The following is a 21432-nucleotide window of genomic DNA, read 5'->3' as shown; positions in this document are numbered from 1 at the left end:
TGCTGGGATTACAGGTGTGAGCCACTGTGCCTGGCCAATCTGATGGTTTTATAAGGGGCTCTTCCCCCTTTACTTATTCACTCTCTGTCACCTGTTGCCATGTAAGATGTACCTTTGCTTCTCTCTTGCCTTCCACCATGACAGTAGGTTTCCTGAGGCCTCCCCAGCCATGCAGAACTGTAAGTTAATTAAACTTCTTTCCCTTATACATTACCCAGTCTTGGGTATGTCTATTTTTTTTTTTGAGATGGAGTCTCGCTCTGTCGCCCAGGCTGGAGTGCAGTGGCGCAATCTCAGCCCACCGCAACCTCCGCCTCCCGGTTCAAGCAATTCTCCTCCCTCAGCCTCCCGAGTAGCTGGGATTACAGGTGCCCGCCACCACGCCTGGCTAAATTTTTTATCTTTAGTAAAGATGGGGTTTCTCCATGTTGGTCAGGCTGGTCTTAAACTCCTGACCTTAGGGGATCCGCCCACCTCAGCCTCCCAAAGTGCTGGGATTACAGGCGTGAGCCACTGCGCCCGGCCAGGTATGTCTGTATAGCACTGTGAGAACAGGCTGATACACTTTTATAATATCTTAAGGAAAATGGATAATTTTTGAGTTGTATAGGAAAATCATTTTTTAAAAAGTATAGAAAGACCCGAATTATTGGGTTATCTTTATTTTTACTCTTACATGTTTGGATAAATTCTTACTTTAAGATACTATACCATTTAATAAATATCTGCTGAACAATTTTTCTTTCTGTTAATGTATTCAATTATTTCTGTTTCCAAGATACAATTACAAAAAGATGCATTCAAACGCTGCCTCTGCCACTTACTAGCTGTATACAAATTGCTTACACTCTCTTCCCTTATCTGTAAAATTCAATTAAAAATATCCACCAACAGGGTTATTGTGCAGATTTAATTACATCACATATGTAAATAAATTTGTACAACATCTGGCACATACAAGGATTTGATAAATATGAACTATCTTTTCTACTTTTTGGTGACTCATTATTGTAAGATGCTCTGCTCCCAGTACCTACCTCGGTCTTCCATTTTCAATCTCATACAGGCCATTCTTGCTCTTTCTCTCAACATGCCCATCCTTTTCGTTAAACTTGGGAGAAAAATTACTTTCACTGTAATGAGAATACCAATGTAAAATAAGAAATAATGATTCAAAACTACCAACAGCTTAATAATGAAAGTCAATCTGTTATCCATAAGAAGTATTCCTGAAACAATAAATTTTTAAGGGTTAGTTTTTTTTTTTTTTTCACAAATCCATCTTATTCCTTCAAAACAATTTTTAAGGCAAAAAAAAGTTTTAACCAAAACACCACACATTACAAAGATATATATTATTATTAAACTTACTAACCCCTCCAGGAAGGACTACCAGCAGAAGAGCTAGAGCTCCTACCTCATGCTACAAGAAGGTCTATTAGCAAGAAGGAATTGTTTGTGGGCACAATATGAAAACTATTTGCTCCCATGTAATTCCAAAAATAAGATTCCTTCTGATGATGTTTCTACTATTTCAAAATAATTTAAATTTCTTCAAATGCACACTGATTAATATTCTTATCAGAGTAAACCCACAAAGCAGTGAATTTGCCCCACAAGCTGCATAATAAATATGATGTAAATTAAAAACAGACATACTATGCTGGAAATGTTCTAGATCTTGATCTGGGCAGTGGTTTACAGAGCTATGTAAATGTAAAATTTTGCTGAGCTGCACACCTTCACATGTAAGAAATGTGCACTTTACAGCCAGGCATGGTGGCTCACGCCTGTAATCCCAGCACTTTGGGAGGCCAAGGTGGGCAGATCACAAGGTCAGGAGATCAAGACCATCCTGGCTAACATGGTGGAACCCCATCTCTACTAAAAAAATACAAAAAATTAGCTGGGCATGGTGGTGGGCACCTGTAGCCCCAGCTACTCGGGAGGCTGAGGCAGGAGAATGGCGTGAACCCAGGAGGTGGAGCTTCCAGTGAGCCGAGATGGCGCCACTGCACTCCAGCCTGGGCGACAGAGCGAGACTCCATCTCGAAAAATAAATAAATAAAATAAAAATAAAGAAATGTGCACTTTACTATATTTGTATCATGCCACAAAAAAAATTATTTTTTCTTTCTTTCTTTTTTTTTTTTTTTTTTTGAGATGGAGTCTCGTTCTGTCACCCAGGCTGGAATGCTGTAGCATTATCTTGGTTCACTGCAACCTCTAACACCCAGATTCAAGCGACTCTCCTGCCTCAGCCTGCTGAGTAGCTGGGACTACAGGAACATGCCACTATACCCAGCTAATTTTTTATATTTTTGGTATACACAGGGTTTCATCATGTTTGCCAAGCTGGTCTCAAACTCCTGACCTCAAGTGATCCGCCTGCCTCGGCCTCCCAAAGTGCTGGGATTACAGGCGTGAGCCACTGTGCCTGGCCCAACAAAAACATTTTTAAACAGACATAACTAAACTACTCTCCTCACCACTATAAAATCCCTGCCATAATTGCACTGACAGTGAATAAAGAGTTACATAGCACTGGATAGTTCATGGGCAGTTCTGAAACAGGTTTCACTTTTTTCTTGCTTTAATTCCATTGAGTGAGCAAAGAAATATCTGTGGTCTGTTTGGGAATAATTTCCAATTTCAATGATCCATACATTTTCTTAAGACTTCTAGCCAATCTGCCATCTAACATGCAAATAAAAAGAATTAAATGATAAAAACCATGAAATTATAAAACCAGAGCTGCAATGCCCTTGGGACTCTAGAGATTCACCCTTTTAAAAAAATCACCAGGCGTGCCGGCTCATGCCTGTAATCCCAGCACTTTGAGAGGCCAAGGCAGAAGGATCACCTGAGCTCAGGAGTTCGAGACCAGACTGGATGATACAGTGAGAACTCTTCTCTGCTAAAAATTTAAAAGTTAGCCAGGCATGGTGGCACACACCTGTAGTCCCACCTGCTCAGGAGGCTGAAGTGGGAGGATCACTTGAGCCCAGGAGATCAAGGCTGCAGTGAGCTATGATCACACCACTGCACTCCACCCTGGGTTAGAAAAGGAACATAAAGGGATGGGAAAAATGGGGAGATGATGGTCAAAGGGTACAAAGTTTCAGTTATGCAAAATGAGTAAGTTCTAGAGATCTAATGCACAGTGTGGTGACTACAGTTAATAATACTGTTCTTGTCCAGCCTGGACAATACAGTGAGACCCCATCTCTACTTAAAAATAAAATAAAATTAGCCAAGTATGGTGGAACATGCCCATAGTCCTAGCTACTCAGGTGGCTGAGGCAGGAGAATCACCTGAGCCCAGGAGTTCAAGGTTGGAGCAAGCTGTGATCACATCACTGTACTCCAGCCTGGGTGACAGAGAGAGAGAGCACCAGTCTCAAAAATAGTAATAATACAGTATTGTATACTTGAAACTCGCTGAGAGTGGATCTCAACTCTTCTCACTACACACACAAAAAAGGTAACCATGTAAGATTATTTTAAATGGCTTGATTGTTGTAATCACTTCACAATGTATATGTATGTCAAAATATCACATTGTACACCTTAAATATATATAGTTACTTGTCAATCATATATCAATAAAGCTGGAAAATAAAAAAGAAACATAAACATAAAATGTTAATCAATGCGGCACTTCTATGAATTTAGTGAGAGCCCCTTCTCTCTCATTCTCCCCCTCTCACTCCCCTTTATCCAACCCTTTTCTATTTTTTCACACTGGTTTATCATCATCCTGTTCTTAGTAACCTGGAGAATTTTCCGAAAAATATTTTCACAAGTCTAGCTATGTTGGAAAATAACCACAAAGGATATTCTATTGATAACCCAAATAGAACACATGAAAACAAATACCATCAGCTGTTATTTCAAAACAAATATAACAGTACCAGCTGTTATTTCATAACACATAGCTGATGCTATTTGTTATTTCAAATCAAAACAGATTTAACTATTTGGAAGTATCCTCATAAAACCCCCAAAAGAATAAACAAATATGAACTGTTTATCTTTGGCAAGAATTCAAGCAAATGTGGAAACTGAGTTATAACACAGCTAAGCATAGATTGAAATTATTTTCAGGTGTCAAAAAGATACTTTACAAATAAAACCATTACCTTCTCTAAAAGTCTTATTCCCAGCTAACGCTGTCTTATTTGCTCACCTGATCTGAGGATCTGCCCACCTGGGTCCAGCCAAGACAGAGACTGCAGTGTATTCCACAGGCTTATAGTCTTGCCACTCAACAAGCCAGCCCACTTTCTCATTAGGAACCTGGCTTCGTTCAACTTTTGAACCTGGGTAAGGAGACGTCCGAGCCTTATTGTGAGAATTTTCTTTGGAACCATTAGAACCAGACATGACGTTGGTATTAAGATGAAACCAAGAAGATGAAAACGAGTTTCTGGGGGAGAAAAAGAAAAACATTTTACATAAATACCAAAAATATATTAATTAAAGAACCTAGGCCGGGTGCAGTGGCTTACGCCTGTAATCCCAGCACTTTGTGAGGCCGAGGTAGGTGGATCACCTGAGGTTAGGGGTTCAAGACCAGCCTGACCAACATGGTGAAATGCCGTCTCTACTAAAAATACAAAATTAGTGGCATATGCCTGTAATCCCAGCTACTTGGGAGGCTGAGGCAAGAGAATCACTTGAACCCAGAAGGCAGAGGTTGCAGTGAGACATCGCGCCATTGCACTCCAACCTGGGCAACAGGAGTGAAAACTCCATCTCAAAAAAAAAGCAAAAAAAAAAAGAACCTAATTCAAAGACCCAAAAACATACTTTCCAATTTCAAAAACCTTTAAGAATCAGAAAATTCAAATATGATGCATATTAGTCTAAAGGTCCAACATCTATGAGAGATTATTTTCAAATATACATTTTTTTAACATATAGCTAAATCTTATTAGCTGGAACCCACTCACTGAATTTATTTTAGACAAAAAAAAAAAAAAAAGGACACAAACTTACTTGTGTGTTATCTGTTGTGGAAGGGGAAGTTTGTTATGAAAACTCAAACCATAAAAACAAGTGTAGGCCAGGTGTGGTGGCTCATATCTGTAATCCCAGCACTTTGGGAGGCTAAGGAGGGCAGATCACTTGAGGTCAGGAGTTCGAGACCAGCCTGCTCAACATGGTGAAACCCTGTCTCTACTAAAAGATACAAAAATTAGCCAGGTGTGGTGAATCCCAGCTACTCGGGAGGCTGGGGCAGGAGAATTGCTTGAACCCAGGAGGCGGAGGTTGCAGTGAGCCGAGATTGTGGCACTGCACTCCAGCCTGGGCGACAGAGCGAGACTCCATCTCAAAAAATATATATACATATAAAAGAAAACTGTTTAAAGTCTACGTAAAGGAATATATTTTTTAAAAATCATCTATAGTCTAACATACACATAAAACGTATGGCAAAAATGGTTCAAAGGAAAAACAGGAAAATAGAAATTATTGAAAAATTTTTTACACTGAAAATGAACTAATGTAATATAATTTGAAGGTAGACTGTGGTAAATATACAAATTGTAACCTTTAGAGCAAAATTTAAATAAAATATACAGGCATGAAATAACTGGATAGCATATGCAAAAGAAAAACCAACTAACCTTCACCCTAACCACACAGCATATACAAAAATTTTTCATATCTCATCTTGCCTAAAAAGTTAAATGACTTCTAATTATTCTTAAAATACGAATTCTTGATGACCTTAAATTAGGACATCTCAAGTGGGAAAGGAGATTCTGAGGACATGGTAAAATTATGATAGCTCCTTTCCCCTGCTCTCACAATACCAGTCAATTTGCCCTTCTTAAGACAAATGATTGACGGGGCAAATATCCACTTGACCAAGGTTGTGGACTAAGTCAACAGCATGTGCCTCCTGATCTCATACAGTGAGAAGCATGCAACAGTCATTTGAGGTATTTCTCCCAAAAATATATGACATGAATCTGAACATTAGGAAACACAAGACAGACCCAGGTTAAGAGACATCTTACAGAATAAAGGTGTGTACTCTCTAAATTGGTAAGGTCATGAAAGATAGAGAAAGGTGCAGGAACTCTTCCAGATAGATTAAGACTAAAAAGACATGACAATTAGAAGCAATCAATGATCTTGGATGGGCTGATGACCATAAAGGAAAAAATAAACATTGCAGGATAGGTAGTAAAGTTTGGATGGGGTTGTATAAATAATTTTAAAAGGTGAATTTTTTTAAAGTATCTATTTACTCCCAACAAAGAAAAACCCAGGACCAGATGGCTTTACTGATAAATTCTACCAAACATTTAAAGAAGAATCAACACCAATATTCCCTCAACTCTTCCAAAAACGTGAAGAGGAAGTAAACACTTCCAAACTCACTCTGAGGCCAGCATTATCCTGATACTAAAGCTTGACAAAGACACTATAAAAAAACTACAAACCATTATCTTTGATTAATACTGATGTGAAAATCCTCAACAAAATAATAACAAACAGAATTCAACAGCACATGAAAAGGATTATATGCCATGACCAAGGGAGACATTCTTGGAATCCAATGATGGTTCTATATAATGAAAATCAATCAACATAATGTATCACATTAACAAAATAAAAAAAAAAAACACAATCTTCTTGATTGATGCAGAAAAATTATCTAACAAAATTCAGCACCCTTTCACGATTTAAGAATATTCAACAAACTAGGAATAGAAGGAAATTACCTCAACATAATAAAGGCCATATATGAAAAGCCCACAGCTAATGGTGTGAAGGTGAAAGACTGGAAGTTTTTCCTCTAAGATCAGGAACAAGACAAGGATGTTCACTTTAATCAATATAATACTGGAAGTTCAGCCAGAGCAATTAGGAAAGAAATAGAAGTTCTAGCCAGAACAATTAGGAAAGAAAAAAAAAGGAAAAGGTATCCACATTGGAAAGGAAGAAGTAAAACTGGTTGAGCATCCCTAATCCAAAAATCCAAAATCAGAAATTTTTTGAGTGCTGATATGATGCCACAAATAGAAAATTCCACACCTGGCTTCATGTGATGGGTCACAACCAAAACTGTTTCAGGCACAAGTTTAAAATACTGTATAAAAGTATCTCCAGGCTACCTGTTTAAAGTATATATAAAACATAAATGAATTTTGTGTTTAGACTTGAGTCCCATCTCCAAGACATCTCATTATGTGTATGTGAATATTCCAAAACCTGAAATCCAAACCGCTCTGGTCTCAAGCATTTTAGATAAGGGATACTCAACCTGTATTTACACATCGCATGATGTTTTATGTAGAAAACCCAAGATAATTCATGAAAAAACTGTTAGAACTAATAAATGAATTCAGCAAAGTTGCAAGGTATGAATCAACACACAAAAATGGTTACATTAAAAAACACTAACATGCTGGGTGCACTGGCTCATGCCTGTAATCTCAGCACTTCAGAAGGCAGAGGCTAGTGGATCACCTGAGGTCAGCAGTTCAAGACCAGCCCGGCCAACATGGCGAAACCCTGTCTCTACTAAAAATACAAAAATTAGCCGGGCATGGTGATGTGTGCCTGTAATCCCAGCTACTCGAGAAGCTGAGGCAGGAGAATCACTTAAACCCCAGAGGCGGAGGTTGCAGTAAGCCGAGATCAAGGCTCCATCTCAAAAACAAACAAACAAACAAAGCACTAATAATTAACAATCCAAAAGGAACATTAAGAAAATTCTACTTACAATAGCATAGAAAAGAATAAAATACTTAGGAATAAACTTAAGGAAGCAAAACTCTTATACACTGAACACTACAAACTATTGCTAAAAGAAATTAAAGACACCAATAAATAAAAAGACATCCTATGTTCATTGACTGGAAAAAAATATTAAGATGTCAATACTACTCAAAGTTATCCGCAGATTCAATGCAATCTCTGTCAAAATCCCAATGATGTTTTTCCAGAAAGAGAAAACTCTACCTTAAAATTCATATGGAATCTCAAGGAACCCCAAATAGCCAAGACAATCTTGAAAGGGAGAAACAAGTTCAAGGTCTCACACTTACTACACAGCTATAGTAATCACAACACTGAGATACTGGCATACAGAAAGACATATAGACTAGTGGAATAGAAGTAGAACCCAGAAATAAATCCTCACAATAATTTTTGACAAAGGTACCAAGACCATTTCAACAGGGAAAGGGCAGTCTTTTCAACAAATGGTGCTAGGAAAATTGGATATTCACATGCAAAAGTAGTATGAAGTTTGACCCTTACCTTTCACCATATAAAAACATTAATTAAAAGTGGGTCAAAGACCTAAACATAAGACCTAAAATGATCAAAATCTTAGAGGAACACATGCTGACAAAATTTCACGACACTGGATTTGGTGATGATTTTCTGGATATGACACCAAAAGTACAAGCAACAAGAGAAAAAATTGGTAAGCTGGACTATATATTACATCAAGATGAAAAACTTCTGGGTATCAAAAGACACAATCAAGAGAGAAAAAGCAACCCATGGAACAGGAAAAGATACTTGGTAATCACATGTCTGATAAGGGGTTGGTTATATCCAGAATATAGAAAGAACTCCTACACACAACAACAACAAAACAACCCAATTTAAAAACGGGCAAAGGACTCCAATAGACATTTCTCCAAAGAAGATATACAAATGGCCAATAAGCACATGGAAAGATGCTCAATACCACTAATTATTAGACAAAAGCAAGTCAAAACCACAATGAGATACTACCTCAGACCCATTAGAATGACCACTATCAAAAAAACAATACAGAAAATAAGTATTGGCAAGGATGTGGAGAAATTTACTTGCAATAAAAAAAATGACATCAAACAATTTGTATTTCTGTAAGGCATTGCTGAAAAAAGATTCAGTAAAGTCCTATAATATGGTACTATTTTTATAAAGCAATGACATAAAAAATAAATAAGCACATTTCAGTGCATGTATATAATGTATTAGTTTTCTACTGAAGCCACAACAAATCACCACAAATTCAATGACTTAAGACAATAAAAATTCATTGTCTTACAGTTTTGTAGGTTAGAAGTCCAACACAGGTCTCACTCAGCTAAAGACAATTTATCAGCAGGGCTGCATTCCTCTCTGGAGGCTCAAGAGAAAAATCCATTTGCCATACTTTCCCAGCTTCTAGAGGGAATCCTCATTCCACCTGCATTCTGTGGCTCATGGCCCCCTTCCATCATCTTCAAAGCCAGCAACATAGAAATCTCTCTGACCATGTATTAGTAATCATATCTTTGATCACGGCCAGGCCATTTTTTAAGGACTCTCAATTAAATCAGGCGCACCTTCCAGGATGCTCTCCCCATCTCAAAGTCCTTAACCTTAACCACCTCTGCACTCTCTTTTGCTATGTAAGGCAACATATACACAGGTTCCAGGTATCAGGATGTGGACATACTTGGGGGGCCATTATTCTGCTTACCACAACTGTCTATACTATTTATTATATAAGCATATATAGAAGGAGCCATATAATCAGGTTCTTAATATGGGCTAGGAAATAAGGTGCTGATGTGAAGAGAAGTAGAGGCAAACAGAAAGAGGGAAAAGAAAGGAAGGAGAACGAAAAGGAAAGGGAGGGGGAAAGGGGAGTACAGGAGAGAAGAAAAAGGAGATGAGGGGGAAAGAAGAGACAGTGGCAAAGATGGGGGGGAAACGGGGAGAGAGAAAAGGAGAAAAGGAAAGGGAGTTGCAAGAAAGGATAAGAAAAAAAGAACAAGAAAGAAAAACAAATTTAAAAAGGATAAGAAAACTGAAGGAAAAGGAAACAAGGAAAAAAAGAGAAGGAAAAAAGACTACCCAAATTTACCAAATAAAGTGAGGTATGCCTGATCAAATTTATGCAATTAGGGCAAATTACATAATTATATATATATAAAAAGAAACTTCTCAGTGGGGCACAGTGGCTCACGTCTGTAATCCCAACACTTTGGGAGGCCAAGGCAGGGGGACTGCTTGAAGCTAGGAGTTCAAGACCACCCTAGGTGAGACAGTGAGACCCTTATCTCTACAAAAAATTTTAAAAGTTAGTCAGGCATGGTGGTATGTGCCTGTAGTTGCCGCTACTCAGGAAGCTGAGGTGGGAGGATCTCCTGAGTCCAGGAGGTCAAGGCTGCAGTGAACCATGATCACGCCACTGCACTCCAGCCTGGGCAACATAGTGAGATCCTGACTCATTAAAAAAATAAGAAACCTTTTTAATTAAAATTCTTAACCTGACTTACAAGAACTGCTTCCTAGACTTCCTCCTGGTCCCTCTTCGGTGTATATAGTGTAAACATGTACCTACCATTAGGTATCATACGCAAGTTTCACTGCCCTAAAGGCAGTGAATTTTACGTGTACAATTCCATAAGAGTTGATGCGTGTCATTATACATTTGTCCAAACCATAAAGTACAAGACCAAGAGTAAACCCTGATATAAACTACAGGACTTTGGGTGATGAAGCGTCAATGTAGGTTCAATTTTAACAAACGTATGGCTCCGTGGCTCTGTGGGGATGTTGACAATGCGGGAGGCTATGCATGGGTGGAGGTAGGAGGTATACAGGATATCTCTTATCTTTAGCTCAATTTTGGTGTGAACCTAAAAACTGCTCTAAAAAAATGACTATTTTTTAAAGTCCTCTGTGCTACCCCAATTCATCCAACTCCTGATCTTTTTACTGTCTCCATAGTTGTGCCTTCAAGAATGCCATATAGTTGGAATCATACAGCCTTTCCTTCAGTTAATAATATGCATTTAAGATTCCTCCATGTCTTTTCATGGCTTGATAGCTCATTTCTTCTTAGCACTAAATAATATAATATCCCATTGTCTGGATGTACCGCAGTTTATTTATCCATTTACCTACTGAAGAACATCTTGGTTGCTTCCAAGTTTTGGCAGTTATGAATAAAACTGCTATAAACATCTGTGTGCAGGTTTTTGTGTGGACATAAATTTTCAATTCATTTGGGTAAATACCAAAGAGTGTGATTGCTGAATTATAAGTGTTGAGTTCTGTAAGAAACTGACAAACTGTCAGTTGGATTTTTAACTGGTTTCATTCTTTCCTATTCTTGTGTGTCTACAGTTTTATATACTGTTCAAGCTGTTCTCTTTCATCACATTTAAAGACTCTGAAACAATTACTATTTCATTTTACACTCACTTTACATCTGCAAAGTGTGGTAAAACACCCAAAAATGAGGGAAAACCTAACTAATAAAGAAGTTAATATCCCCAGACGGGCTGAAAACTAGTGTAACGTGAGCGAGTATTTGATTTGTGACTAACTTTACTAAAAGCAGTAGGTTCATTCACTTTCATATTATGATTATGACAACTTTCTTGCCTCAGCTGCCACAGTTTAGGAAACCTACACAATGAATATTCTGAAAATAAAGTCTCCCTCACTCACCTTAAACCCATACTCAATAAAAAATGAATACATATATGAAACACATTTATCAAAATTAGCAAACAGACTTCAGGTGTTTTAAAAAGCAAAATTTTAACATATGGAACCCTAATCTCTAATTGAACCCTATCACAAAATGAGTTATGTTTCATGGTTTGGGAGTAGGGCAAGAAAAAAGTTAAGGCCATTAATTAAATACCAAACAGGAAACACTAATGCTGTTCCACTCCATCCCACCCACGTACCAAAAATGTTTAAATAACTTAAGGCTCTTTGTTCCCTGATTTAGCAATAAAATGTTTATGGAATTCCACAAATCTACCTACTTGACAAGACAGATTTACACACTGGATTATTTACTTTTCTAAAACAAATTTAATTGTGCAAAAATTCAGGCTATACATCTTATCACATCAAGAAGTGCTAACACTGCTATCTATATATGCTATTTAAATGTGATACACTGTAAGGTACCAGAAAAAAGAATACTTGTAATACACACATATACAGCCTTGACCTTTGTATTGTATTATTGAACAAGTGCAAGAAATATATTTGGCCTAGCAAATGGGAACTAAGTAGCTGATAAAGTCCATTTACATGGCAAAAACCAATTCTTAAGACTGGCAAACTTTTAAAAATGCAATACTGACGTGGTGCTTTGAAATAAAATCTGCAACAATCATTGTCATAATCACACCTAAATGTATATAGTGATTGCTATGTGCAAGACAGTGTTCTAAGCACTGTAAATTAACTCACTTGATCCTCACAACTGAGTTCAGGTACTTTTTTTTTTTTTAACTTTTTTTTTTTTTTTTGAGACAAGGCCTCACTCTGTTACCCAGGCTGGCATGCATTGGTACAATCATGGCTCACTGCAATCTCGACCTCCCAGGCTCAAGCAATCCTCCTACCTCAGCCTCCTGAGTAGGTGGGACTATAGGCATATGCTACCACACCTGGCTTTTTTTTTTTTTGGTTTAGTTTTTTGTTTTTTTTTTTGGCAAGGGAGTGGTTTGGTAAATCAGGTAGGCTGAGCGACTCCCAATTTTGTTTATTTTTTGTCAAGATGGGGTCTCACTCTATGTTGCCCAGGCTGGTCCTGAACTCCTAGGCTCAAGCAATCTTCCTGCCTCGGACTTCCAAAGTGCTGAGATTACAGGTGTGAGCCTCCACACCAGGCCATATTATCCTTTTTCAATTTTTTTTTTTATAAATAAGAACATTAAGGCCAGGCGCAGTGGCTCACGCCTGTAATCCCAGCACTTTGGGAGGCCGAGGCAGGCGATCGCAAGGTCAGGAGTTCAAGAACAGCCTGGCCAACACAGTGAAACCCCGTCTCTACTAAAAATACAAAAAAATTAGCTAGGCATGGTGGCAGACGCCTGTAATCCTAGCTACTCACTAGGCTGAGGCAGGAGAATCGCTTGAACCCTGGAGGCACAAGTTGCAGAGAGCCAAGATTACACCACTGCACACCAGCTGGGGCGACAGTGCGAGACTCTGTCTCAAAAAAAAAAAAGGAAATAAGAACATTAAGACCCAGAGAGGTAAATAAGTTTACCAAGGTCACACAATTGAGAGTAGAAATCAGGATCCAAACCTAGGCAAGCTGTCTTAGAATTCCAGGCTCTTAACACTATGTTTTACTATCTCTATTTCATTTTTGGTTCATTCATATGTTTTATGCATTCACAGGAATAAAACAATATTCTACACACATCACCAGTAGATCCTTCTGGAAGATTTGTATGTTGTGGTATGTAAAAGCATTCACTACATCTTTGTAATATACTACCTTTTTTCTAGAAAATGTACATTTGATGACTGGGAGCAGTGTCTCACACCTACAATCCCAGAACTTTAGGAGGCCAAGGCAGGAGGATCACTTGAGCCCAATAGTTTGAGACCAGCCTGGGCAACATAGGGAGACCCATCTCTACAAACAATAAATAAATTTTTAATTAGCCAGGCCTGGTAGTGCGCACCGGTAGTACCAGATACTCAGGATGCTGAGCTGGGACAATCACTGAGCCCAGGAGGTTGAGACTGCAGTGAGTCATGATCACACCACTGCACTCCAGCCTAGGTGACAGAGCAATTAAAAAAGAAAATGAACATTGGAAACCTTCTAGTAATCACAAAAACTAAGTGCAAAACTGTCACTTTCTGGGTTTTTCCAAATTATCAAAGACTGGTAAAATTCTTTTTTTTTTTTTTTTTTTCAAAGAGACAGGGTCTTGGCCAGGCGTGGGGGCTCACACCTGTATTCACCAGCACTTTGAGAGGCCAAGGCAGACAGATTGCCTGAGGTCAGGAGTTCGAAACCAGCCTGGCCAAAATGGTAAAACCCCATCTCTACTAAAAATATAAAACTTAGCCAGGCATGGTGATGGGCGCCTGTAATCCTAGCTACTAGGGAGGCTGGGGCAGGAGAATCACTAGAACCTGGGAGGCGGAGGTTGCAATGAGCCAAGATCACGCCACCGCACTCCAGCCTTGGCAACGAGAGCAAGACTCCATCTCAAAAAAAAAAAAAAAAAAAAGGAAAAGAACACTAGGGACACGGTCTTGCTGTGCCACTCAGGCTGGAATGCAGTGATGCGATCATAGCTTACCACAGCCTCAAACTCAACTCCTGAGCTCAAGCAATCCTACTGATCACTTAGTAGTCTCTGAGCCTACTCTGATCCTACTGATAGTGAGGACTACACATGCATGCCACCAGGCCCAGTTTTTTTTTTTTAGAGACAAGGGTCTTGCTAAGTTGCCTAGACTGGTCTCAAACTCCTGGCCTCACACGATCCTCCTGCCTCAGCCTTCCAAAGCACTGGGATTACAGGTGTTAGCCACTGTGCCTGGCCATAAAATTCTTTTTTTGTTTTTCTTGAGACATTGTATCACTCTGTCACCCAGAATGGAATGCAGTGGCATGATCTCAGCTCACTGCAACCTCCACCTCCCCGGTTCAAGCTATTCTGCCACATTAGTTACCAGGTACTTGGCACATTTGTTAACTGTTGGCTTTTTCTTTCAAGTCAGTACAGTCTCTGGTTCTGGATATACCTGCCTCATGTAGGGTTCCCAGAGTTACAAAAACGAAGAATAACTGTCAAGCAACTTTACACTGTTCTGCTGGCATCTAACAAAAAGAGCATTAGAGATTTCCAGAGAGCACACACGTGTATTCCTTCCTTCCTCAAATCCCACTAAAAGAAGATAAAGATAGATAAAGGGAAATAAAATCCGTACCAGGAGAAGGAATAAATGCCACCAGTGAATGACAGATGGTAACCAACTTCAGGAAAATGAAAAGTTGTTGGAATATTGACCTACAAACCAGAGTAGGACAAAGTAAAATAAGAATATGCACCAAGGCCGGGCGCGGTGGCTCACGCCTGTAATCCCAGCACTTTGGGAGGCCGAGACGGGCGGATCACGAGGTCAAGAGTTCAAGACCAGATCAGCCTAACCAAGATGGTGAAACCCTGTCTCTACTAAAAATACAAAAAAAATTAGCCGGGCGTGCGCGCGCCAGTAATCTCAGCTACTCAAGAGGCTGAGGCAGAAGAATCGCTTGAACCCAGGAGGCGGAAGTTGCAGTGAGCCGAGATCGCGCCACTGCGCTCCAGCCTGGGCGACAGAGCGAAACTCCTTCTCAAAAAAAAAAAAAAAAAAAAAAACGCATTAGGGAGAAATGCTATTCCTACAAGCTGAGCCGAGCTAGAGGTTTCAAGCTTGAAGTCAGTGGGCCCAAGGATCATAAACTGGCAGCGCGACAATAACCATGGAAATCACTCAGTCCTCCTCCCTCCCCAATCTCCAAGCAAAAAGTCCAAAATAGTTATGTTTGTCTCCAAGATAAAATCAAAAGTTTTTTAGAAATGAAGGGGTAGGACCCCTACTGTGAATACTGGTGTTAAGAGTACACAGCAGAAACTTAGGCTTAATAATTTTACAGTTCACACGGAGGAAATAAACAGCTATACTCAGCAGAGAAGTTGCTCCACCACTACTGCAAAGCCTGAAGCAAAAGGCAGGTTCCCAGTCTACCCATCTGGTACCTGCTCACATGCCCTCAACTGAAACCTTCCTATCTAGGCAACCTGGTACAGAGCCAAAAGTCAATTAGCGACCCATGTACTGAAAACAAGACCTATTACTCATATTAATCAAAATATAGACAGATAACCAGTGCCCATCACATGTTCGAGAAAAAGCAACAGAAGGAAACAGGACCAAAAAGACACAGAACAATTGACCAACAGTAAGTAAATTATTTAGGAAATAGATTTTTCTAATTATCATCTTTGTAGATTCAAGACTTTTAATATCTATAAAATAAGAAAAGGCTGCTGCACCTAGGACCCTGTGTTTACTAACTCAAAGAATAAAAACTGGAGAAGGGAAGAACAGAAGGAGGCAGTGTAAGACACCATAAATCCCTAAATTTAACCACAATAGACAAATTATTAAAAAAAAGGAGGTAGATAGTAAATATAATATATTGTCCACCCTGGAAAGGGGACAGGGGGAATAGTGATTTTACTTTTCATTTTACATTTTCAAGTTGTTTTAACTATGTACATGTATTAATACTAATAATAATGTTTTAAGTATTAACCATAAAAAAATGGCACGGGACACCACCACCCCAAACAATTGCTATTTAAACTCTCTCGTGATACTAACAATGATTTACAGAGAATGGCAAATTTCAAAATCAGAAGTCAAGAAGGGTCCCTGCCACTCGTTTTCCTCAAAAGGCAGATAAAATATTTTAGAGCCTTTTTGAAAACTTGTATATGACTATAAAAACCCGAGAGGCAAAGCAAAGCCTACAGAATACGCCAGAAAAAAAAGCTGCTTCCCACCCCCAACTCAAGGTCTAGGGCAAAGGAGCCGGTAGTAGGAGGGTGGAATACCTGAACGCCTGGATGCCGCGGCAGCGCGAGGACCTGATAGTCACAGAGGCCAAGGCCAGAGAGAGAGACACCGCGGCTAAAGCCTTTCCCAGGAGGCGTCCCGCCATGAGCGCCCCGAGGGCGGCTTTGCGATGCTAGGTCGCTCTTAGTTGGTGCCTCCGCCTCCCCACACCCCACAGCTCCGAGTCCCGGCCGCGGGTATCTGATGGGCACTAGGACCTGTCTGCCGTTGGGTTCCCGAACGGGAGTAGCTGTGCCTATCTATAAATCACAGATCAAGAGCCCTCCCACGATAAGAGTCCACCGCTTTCCCCAGTGCATCGAGAAAAATCCAGACCAGCACGTGACGCCGAAGCCTCCAGCGCCAGCTGCCTGGGGAAACCGCGGCCACGAACCTCGTAACTTTCTCTCTGCGTAATGGCGCTTTACGGCCGCGCCGCAAAGCAAAGGTCGTGCGTTGCCGGCTTGGTAGCGCCTTCCTTCTCCGACTTCCCAGACTTCCCAGTCTGCGCAGGCTTACTTGGGGACGCAGGGAACTACCAAGAAAGTGTCAGAGGAAAGGAAAGGTGAAACAGACGAGGAACTGGAACGGGAATAAGTGGGAAAGAAGCCAAGGGGTTTGAGAGAGACTTGCTGCCCTGGGTTTTTGGTTTTTGTTTTTTGAGACAAGAGTCTGGCTCTGTCGCCCAGGCTGCAGTGCAGGGGCGCGATTTCAGCTCATTGCCGCCTCAACCTCCTGGGCTTAAGCGAGTCTCTTGTCTCAGCCCCCGACGTAGCTGGGACTACAGGCACACACCGCCATACCTGGCTAATTTTTGTATGTTTTGTAGCGACAGATTTTTGCCATGTTGCCCAGGCTGGTCTCCAACTCTCAAGCTCAAATAATCCAACTGTTTGGGCCTCCCACAGTGCTGAGGTTACAGGCCTCAGCCAACGCGCCTGGCCCTGCTCTGGTTTTTTTAGGGAGTAAGTTGTTGCGGAAGGACGCAGGTCTTAGCCATATTTTTGAATAATACTTCGTTATGGGAATGAAACCGCCTTTGCAAAATTATGACTGATTTGGGAGGCCGAGGCGGGATCACTTGCAGTCAGGAGTTCAAGACCAGCCTGGCCAACGTGGTGAAACCTCGTCTCTACTAAAAATACAAAAATTAGCTGGGCATGGTGGTAAACGCGCCTGTAGTCCCAGCTGCTCAGGAGGATGAAGCAGGAGAATCGCTTGAACCCGGGAGGTGGAGGTTGCAGTGAGCCAACGTCGCACCACTGCACTCCACCCTGGGCGACAAGAGTGAAACTACGTATCAAAAAAAAAAAGAAAAAACCTCTGCTCCCTGAATGCTCAGGGAGACTGATTTGAGTAATAATAGAACTCCGGTCTCACACAGCTGGCTCTGCATGAATTACTCTTTCTCTATTGCAATTCCCCTGTCTTGATGAATCAGCTCTGTCTAGGAAGCGGGAAAGGTGAACCCCTTGGGCGGTTACAGCAAGAGGAGATAGTCCAGAGACTCAGCCCTCGTATCTTGAAGGGTTTCTTGGTTTTTTGTTTTTGTTTTCTTAACCAAGTTGTCTGCTCCAATTGCTGGATTTCATTCACAAGGCTTTGCTAGGACCAGTTGTGGCCCTTGGAAACTCGTGGAGGAGAAAAGCTGTGAAAATAGGCACACATGCTGGAGGAGGAACAGAGGGCAACACACATAATACTGGATAATAAACTTGAGAGGCAAAAATTAAACAAACCGACAAACAAAGTTGGAAACCCAGACTGTCCAAAGCAGCTTGTAATCAGGCTTACTTCATTTATATTAGCTTATTGATGTGGCAACTATTTGACTTTTACTTACATGATCCGCTGTTTCTGTGGTGTGGTTCCAATACACCGACGTTACAAAACTTTGACCATCTTAAAAGCCAGATTAATCGAATTTTAACAACCATTGTTCTGAAAACTGCAGAACTCTCGACAGGTATTGACTGTTCAAACTACACTGTCAACCTAGACGCTGAGGCACGAGATAGAACTTAAAGCATTTACTTTAGCCAAAGTGAGGACAGCTGCCCAGAAGACCCAGACCCAAGTAACCTTAAATGTGAACTCCTGTCCACCTTTGTTACAATCAGGTTTTTAAAGGCAAAAAGGGGACAGGGAGTTGACTGATACAAAGTTGTAAAGAATTACTGGTTTGTAGAAATAGTATTGGTTAGTGGTTGGCTATACGTTAAGCTATAGGGTGCGAGTTACAGTGTCCAGTGTACCATTATTAGGTTAATTTTTAGCTACTTGTGGCTATAGTAAGCAGTTTAAAGAGATGAATGCATAACAAAGTGGGGAGTAGGATGTAATTGCTGTCTCATTTTAATGTCTCTCTGGGCCTGGTAATTTAAAAGGATTTACCTTCCTCATATAAAAGTTCTTTTCTCGGCACTGAGAGATTTGATTATACTCTAGCATAGCTTCCAGTAGCTTAAGGCCTTGTCCCTAGGCTGACCCCAGATCCCGTTAAAATGCTTCCCTGAAATCAAAACTCAATGCCTGGAGAATTTACTGTTTGTTCCAGCCAAAACTTGATGATAGGCAGATAGGTCCCTGAACCCCTTCTTAGAGCAGTCACTTTAGAAAGCTTGTTTCTCTACCCTTGGTGATGTAAGTCTACCACCCAACACAGTTTCCTCAAAGACTTGGGAGCCATCTCTTTGAAATGCAAATATTCAGAAAGATAACTCACCCTAGCTCCTAGTCCCTGTACAAGACCGGTACCTTGCTTTAGCTAGCACCACTGCCTCCTATCATAAAGATAGAAGTTTGTTTCTCCTCTGGATAAGAGCCAGTTAACAAACCCAAATGGCCTAATCACATCAATCAACAAACCACCGTGCCCCCCTGCCACCCCCCAAAACTTAAGATCCTTTTGTGCCTTTCCTTTTTGCATACCACAGCCTTTTGTTTCAGGGAAGTGTGGGATTAGTTTGTATTACACTCTTTTCCCTATTGGACTAGCATCACTGAATAAAGTCTGTCCTTACTGCTTTAACTAGTGTCCAGCTTTGTTTATTTTGACTGCTTTCTCAGGTTGAGAAGTACTATTATTGAAATGTGCATTTTAAAGATAAATATCAGTACTCGGCTTCCTCTGGTCAGATAAACTTTGCTCTCAGTGTTGTTAATCACTGCTTAAACTGGAAATGTATTAGACCGGCTCTGTTCATCAAGTTCAGCGTGTCCAAAGTCTGTTGACAAATTAGTCACTAGAGAAGACAGGAGAAAAGCAGTGAGTTACAAAGTCAACAATCAAAGAAAGGGAGCAACAGAAAGTAGTTCTCACAGGAAGCTCCTCAGACCCTAGTCTTATAACTCCATATTCCCTAAGGGGAGGCTAGCGTGAACTTAGTTTGATGAACCTGTGCAAACAACTGTACAAACAAAACCAATTCCATGGCACTGAAACAAAACTGCAATTAGCTGGGACAGCCAGATCTCCTGGGTTCCTCCCTTCAGGGATGCATACTGCACATCTGCTCAGGTGTAGTGAGTGCATGTTCTGCAACCTGCTCTTGGGTAGAAACAAAACATCTCCTCATCAAATTACCCACATCCTAAATTAGTTAAACAGATGTCATCAGAATTTAAGGAGAAGTAAGGACTTTTTAAAAATTTATGAAGCATATACCAACTTCAAGGGCATCTTGCAATAGTTGGTGAGACAGACCAAGAACACTGAGAAATGAGAATTTTTAAATAGGAAAGTGACATATGTGATTATTAGAATTGATGAGTATGTTAAAAGTAAGAGTAATTCAGAATCCCAACTATTTCCCTGATATAGTTTGGATATTTCTCCCCTCCAATCTCATGTTGAAATGTATTCCCCAGTGTTGGAGGTGAGGTCTGGTGGGAGGTGTTTGGGTCATGAGGGTGGATCCCTTGTGATAGTGCTATCCTTGTGATAGTGAGTTCATGCAAGATCTGGTTGTTTAAAGATGTATGACACCTTGTCCACCTCTTTCTTGCTCCCACTCTCGCCAAAATGTCAGCTCCCCTTTGCCTTCCACCATGATTGTAGGCTTTCTCAGGCCTCACCAGGAGCCAAGCAGATGCCCAGCACCATGCTTCCTGTACAGCCTGCAGAACCGTGAGCCAATTAAACCTCTTTTCTATTGGGGGAACTCACCCCCAATATTTCAACGTAGATTGTTTCTATTTTCCATAAGTGTCAGACAGCTGAGAAATAAAGAGAAAGAGTACAAAGAGAGGAATTTTACAGCTGGGCTGCCGGGGGTGACATCACATGTCGGTAGGACCATGATGCCCACCTGAGCCGCAAAACCAGCAAGTTTTTATTAAGGATTTCAAAAAGGGAGGGGGTGTATGAACAGGGAGTATGTCACAAAGATCACATGCTTCAAAGGGCAAAAGGCAGAACAAAGATCACATGCTTCTGAGGAAACAGGACAAGGGCAAAATCAGAACTCCTGTTAATGGTCTATGTTCAGCAGTGCACATATTGCCTTGATAAATATCTTAACAGAAAACAGGGTTCGAGAGCAGAGAACCAGTCTGACCAAAAATTCACCAGGAAGGAGTTTCCCAATCCTAGTAAGCCTGAGGATACTGCCAGAGACCAAGGCGTATCTCAGTCCTTATCTCAACCGCATAGGACAGACATTCCCAGAACGGCCATTTATAGACCTCCCGCCAGGAATGCATTCCTTTCCCAGGGTCTTAATATTAATATTCCTTGCTAGGAATATTAGTGATAAAGAATTTAGTGATATCTCTCCTACTTGCACGTCTGTATATAGGCTGTCTGCAAGAAGAAAAATATGGCTCTTTTTGCCCAACCACGCAGGCAGTCAGACCTTATGGTTGTCTTCCCTTGTTCCCTAAAAAATCGCTGTTATTCTGTTCTTTTTCAAGGTGCACTGATTTCATATTGTTCAAACACACGTTTTACAATCAATTTGTACAGTTAACACAATTATCACAGTTGTCCTGAGTTGACATACATCCTCAGCTTACGAAGATAACAGGATTAGG

At 40.5% G+C, this 21432-nt stretch overlaps 1 protein-coding gene across 5 annotated transcripts in view, besides 4 other annotated features; it reads right to left on the bottom strand.

Moving 5' to 3' along the window:
• NUDT9 (nudix hydrolase 9) overlaps positions 1–16837 on the bottom strand; it is a 36883-nt gene extending 20046 nt beyond the window's left edge. For 2 of the 5 annotated variants that reach the window (XR_007057928.1, NM_024047.5), the window contains exons 1-3: positions 16398–16837; positions 4190–4429; positions 1038–1133 (exon numbers count right to left, since the gene is read on the bottom strand). Coding sequence is in view for 4 of the 5 variants with exons in the window: in NM_024047.5 (NP_076952.1) it covers positions 1038–1133; positions 4190–4429; positions 16398–16504 (443 nt within the window). In the remaining variant the exon portion in view is untranslated. The remainder of the gene's footprint in view (positions 1–1037; positions 1134–4189; positions 4430–16397) is intronic. The other 3 variants (NM_198038.3, XM_011532032.3, NM_001248011.2) reach the window with 3 other exon arrangements.
• Positions 14466–14967: an enhancer, noted in NCBI's record as "H3K4me1 hESC enhancer chr4:88345595-88346096 (GRCh37/hg19 assembly coordinates)". NCBI's record gives its function as "activates a minimal SCP1, AML or CMV promoter by ChIP-STARR-seq in naive H9 embryonic stem cells {active_cell/tissue: H9 hESC(naive)}" and the evidence as "EXISTENCE:reporter gene assay evidence [ECO:0000049][PMID:30033119]".
• Positions 14968–15471: an enhancer, noted in NCBI's record as "H3K4me1 hESC enhancer chr4:88345091-88345594 (GRCh37/hg19 assembly coordinates)". NCBI's record gives its function as "activates a minimal SCP1, AML or CMV promoter by ChIP-STARR-seq in naive H9 embryonic stem cells {active_cell/tissue: H9 hESC(naive)}" and the evidence as "EXISTENCE:reporter gene assay evidence [ECO:0000049][PMID:30033119]".
• Positions 16015–16949: an enhancer, noted in NCBI's record as "NANOG-H3K27ac-H3K4me1 hESC enhancer chr4:88343613-88344547 (GRCh37/hg19 assembly coordinates)". NCBI's record gives its function as "activates a minimal SCP1, AML or CMV promoter by ChIP-STARR-seq in naive H9 embryonic stem cells {active_cell/tissue: H9 hESC(naive)}" and the evidence as "EXISTENCE:reporter gene assay evidence [ECO:0000049][PMID:30033119]".
• Positions 17019–17068: an enhancer, noted in NCBI's record as "active region_21707". NCBI's record gives its function as "activates an Ori minimal core promoter by ATAC-STARR-seq in GM12878 lymphoblastoid cells {active_cell/tissue: GM12878}" and the evidence as "EXISTENCE:reporter gene assay evidence [ECO:0000049][PMID:35858748]".

The sequence above is a fragment of the Homo sapiens genome, chromosome 4 (assembly GCF_000001405.40).
Source record: "Homo sapiens chromosome 4, GRCh38.p14 Primary Assembly".
Classification (NCBI taxonomy): Eukaryota; Metazoa; Chordata; class Mammalia; order Primates; family Hominidae; genus Homo; species Homo sapiens.
The sequence above is the reverse complement of the archived record's forward strand: the minus strand, read 5'-3'. Positions and strand labels throughout refer to the sequence as shown.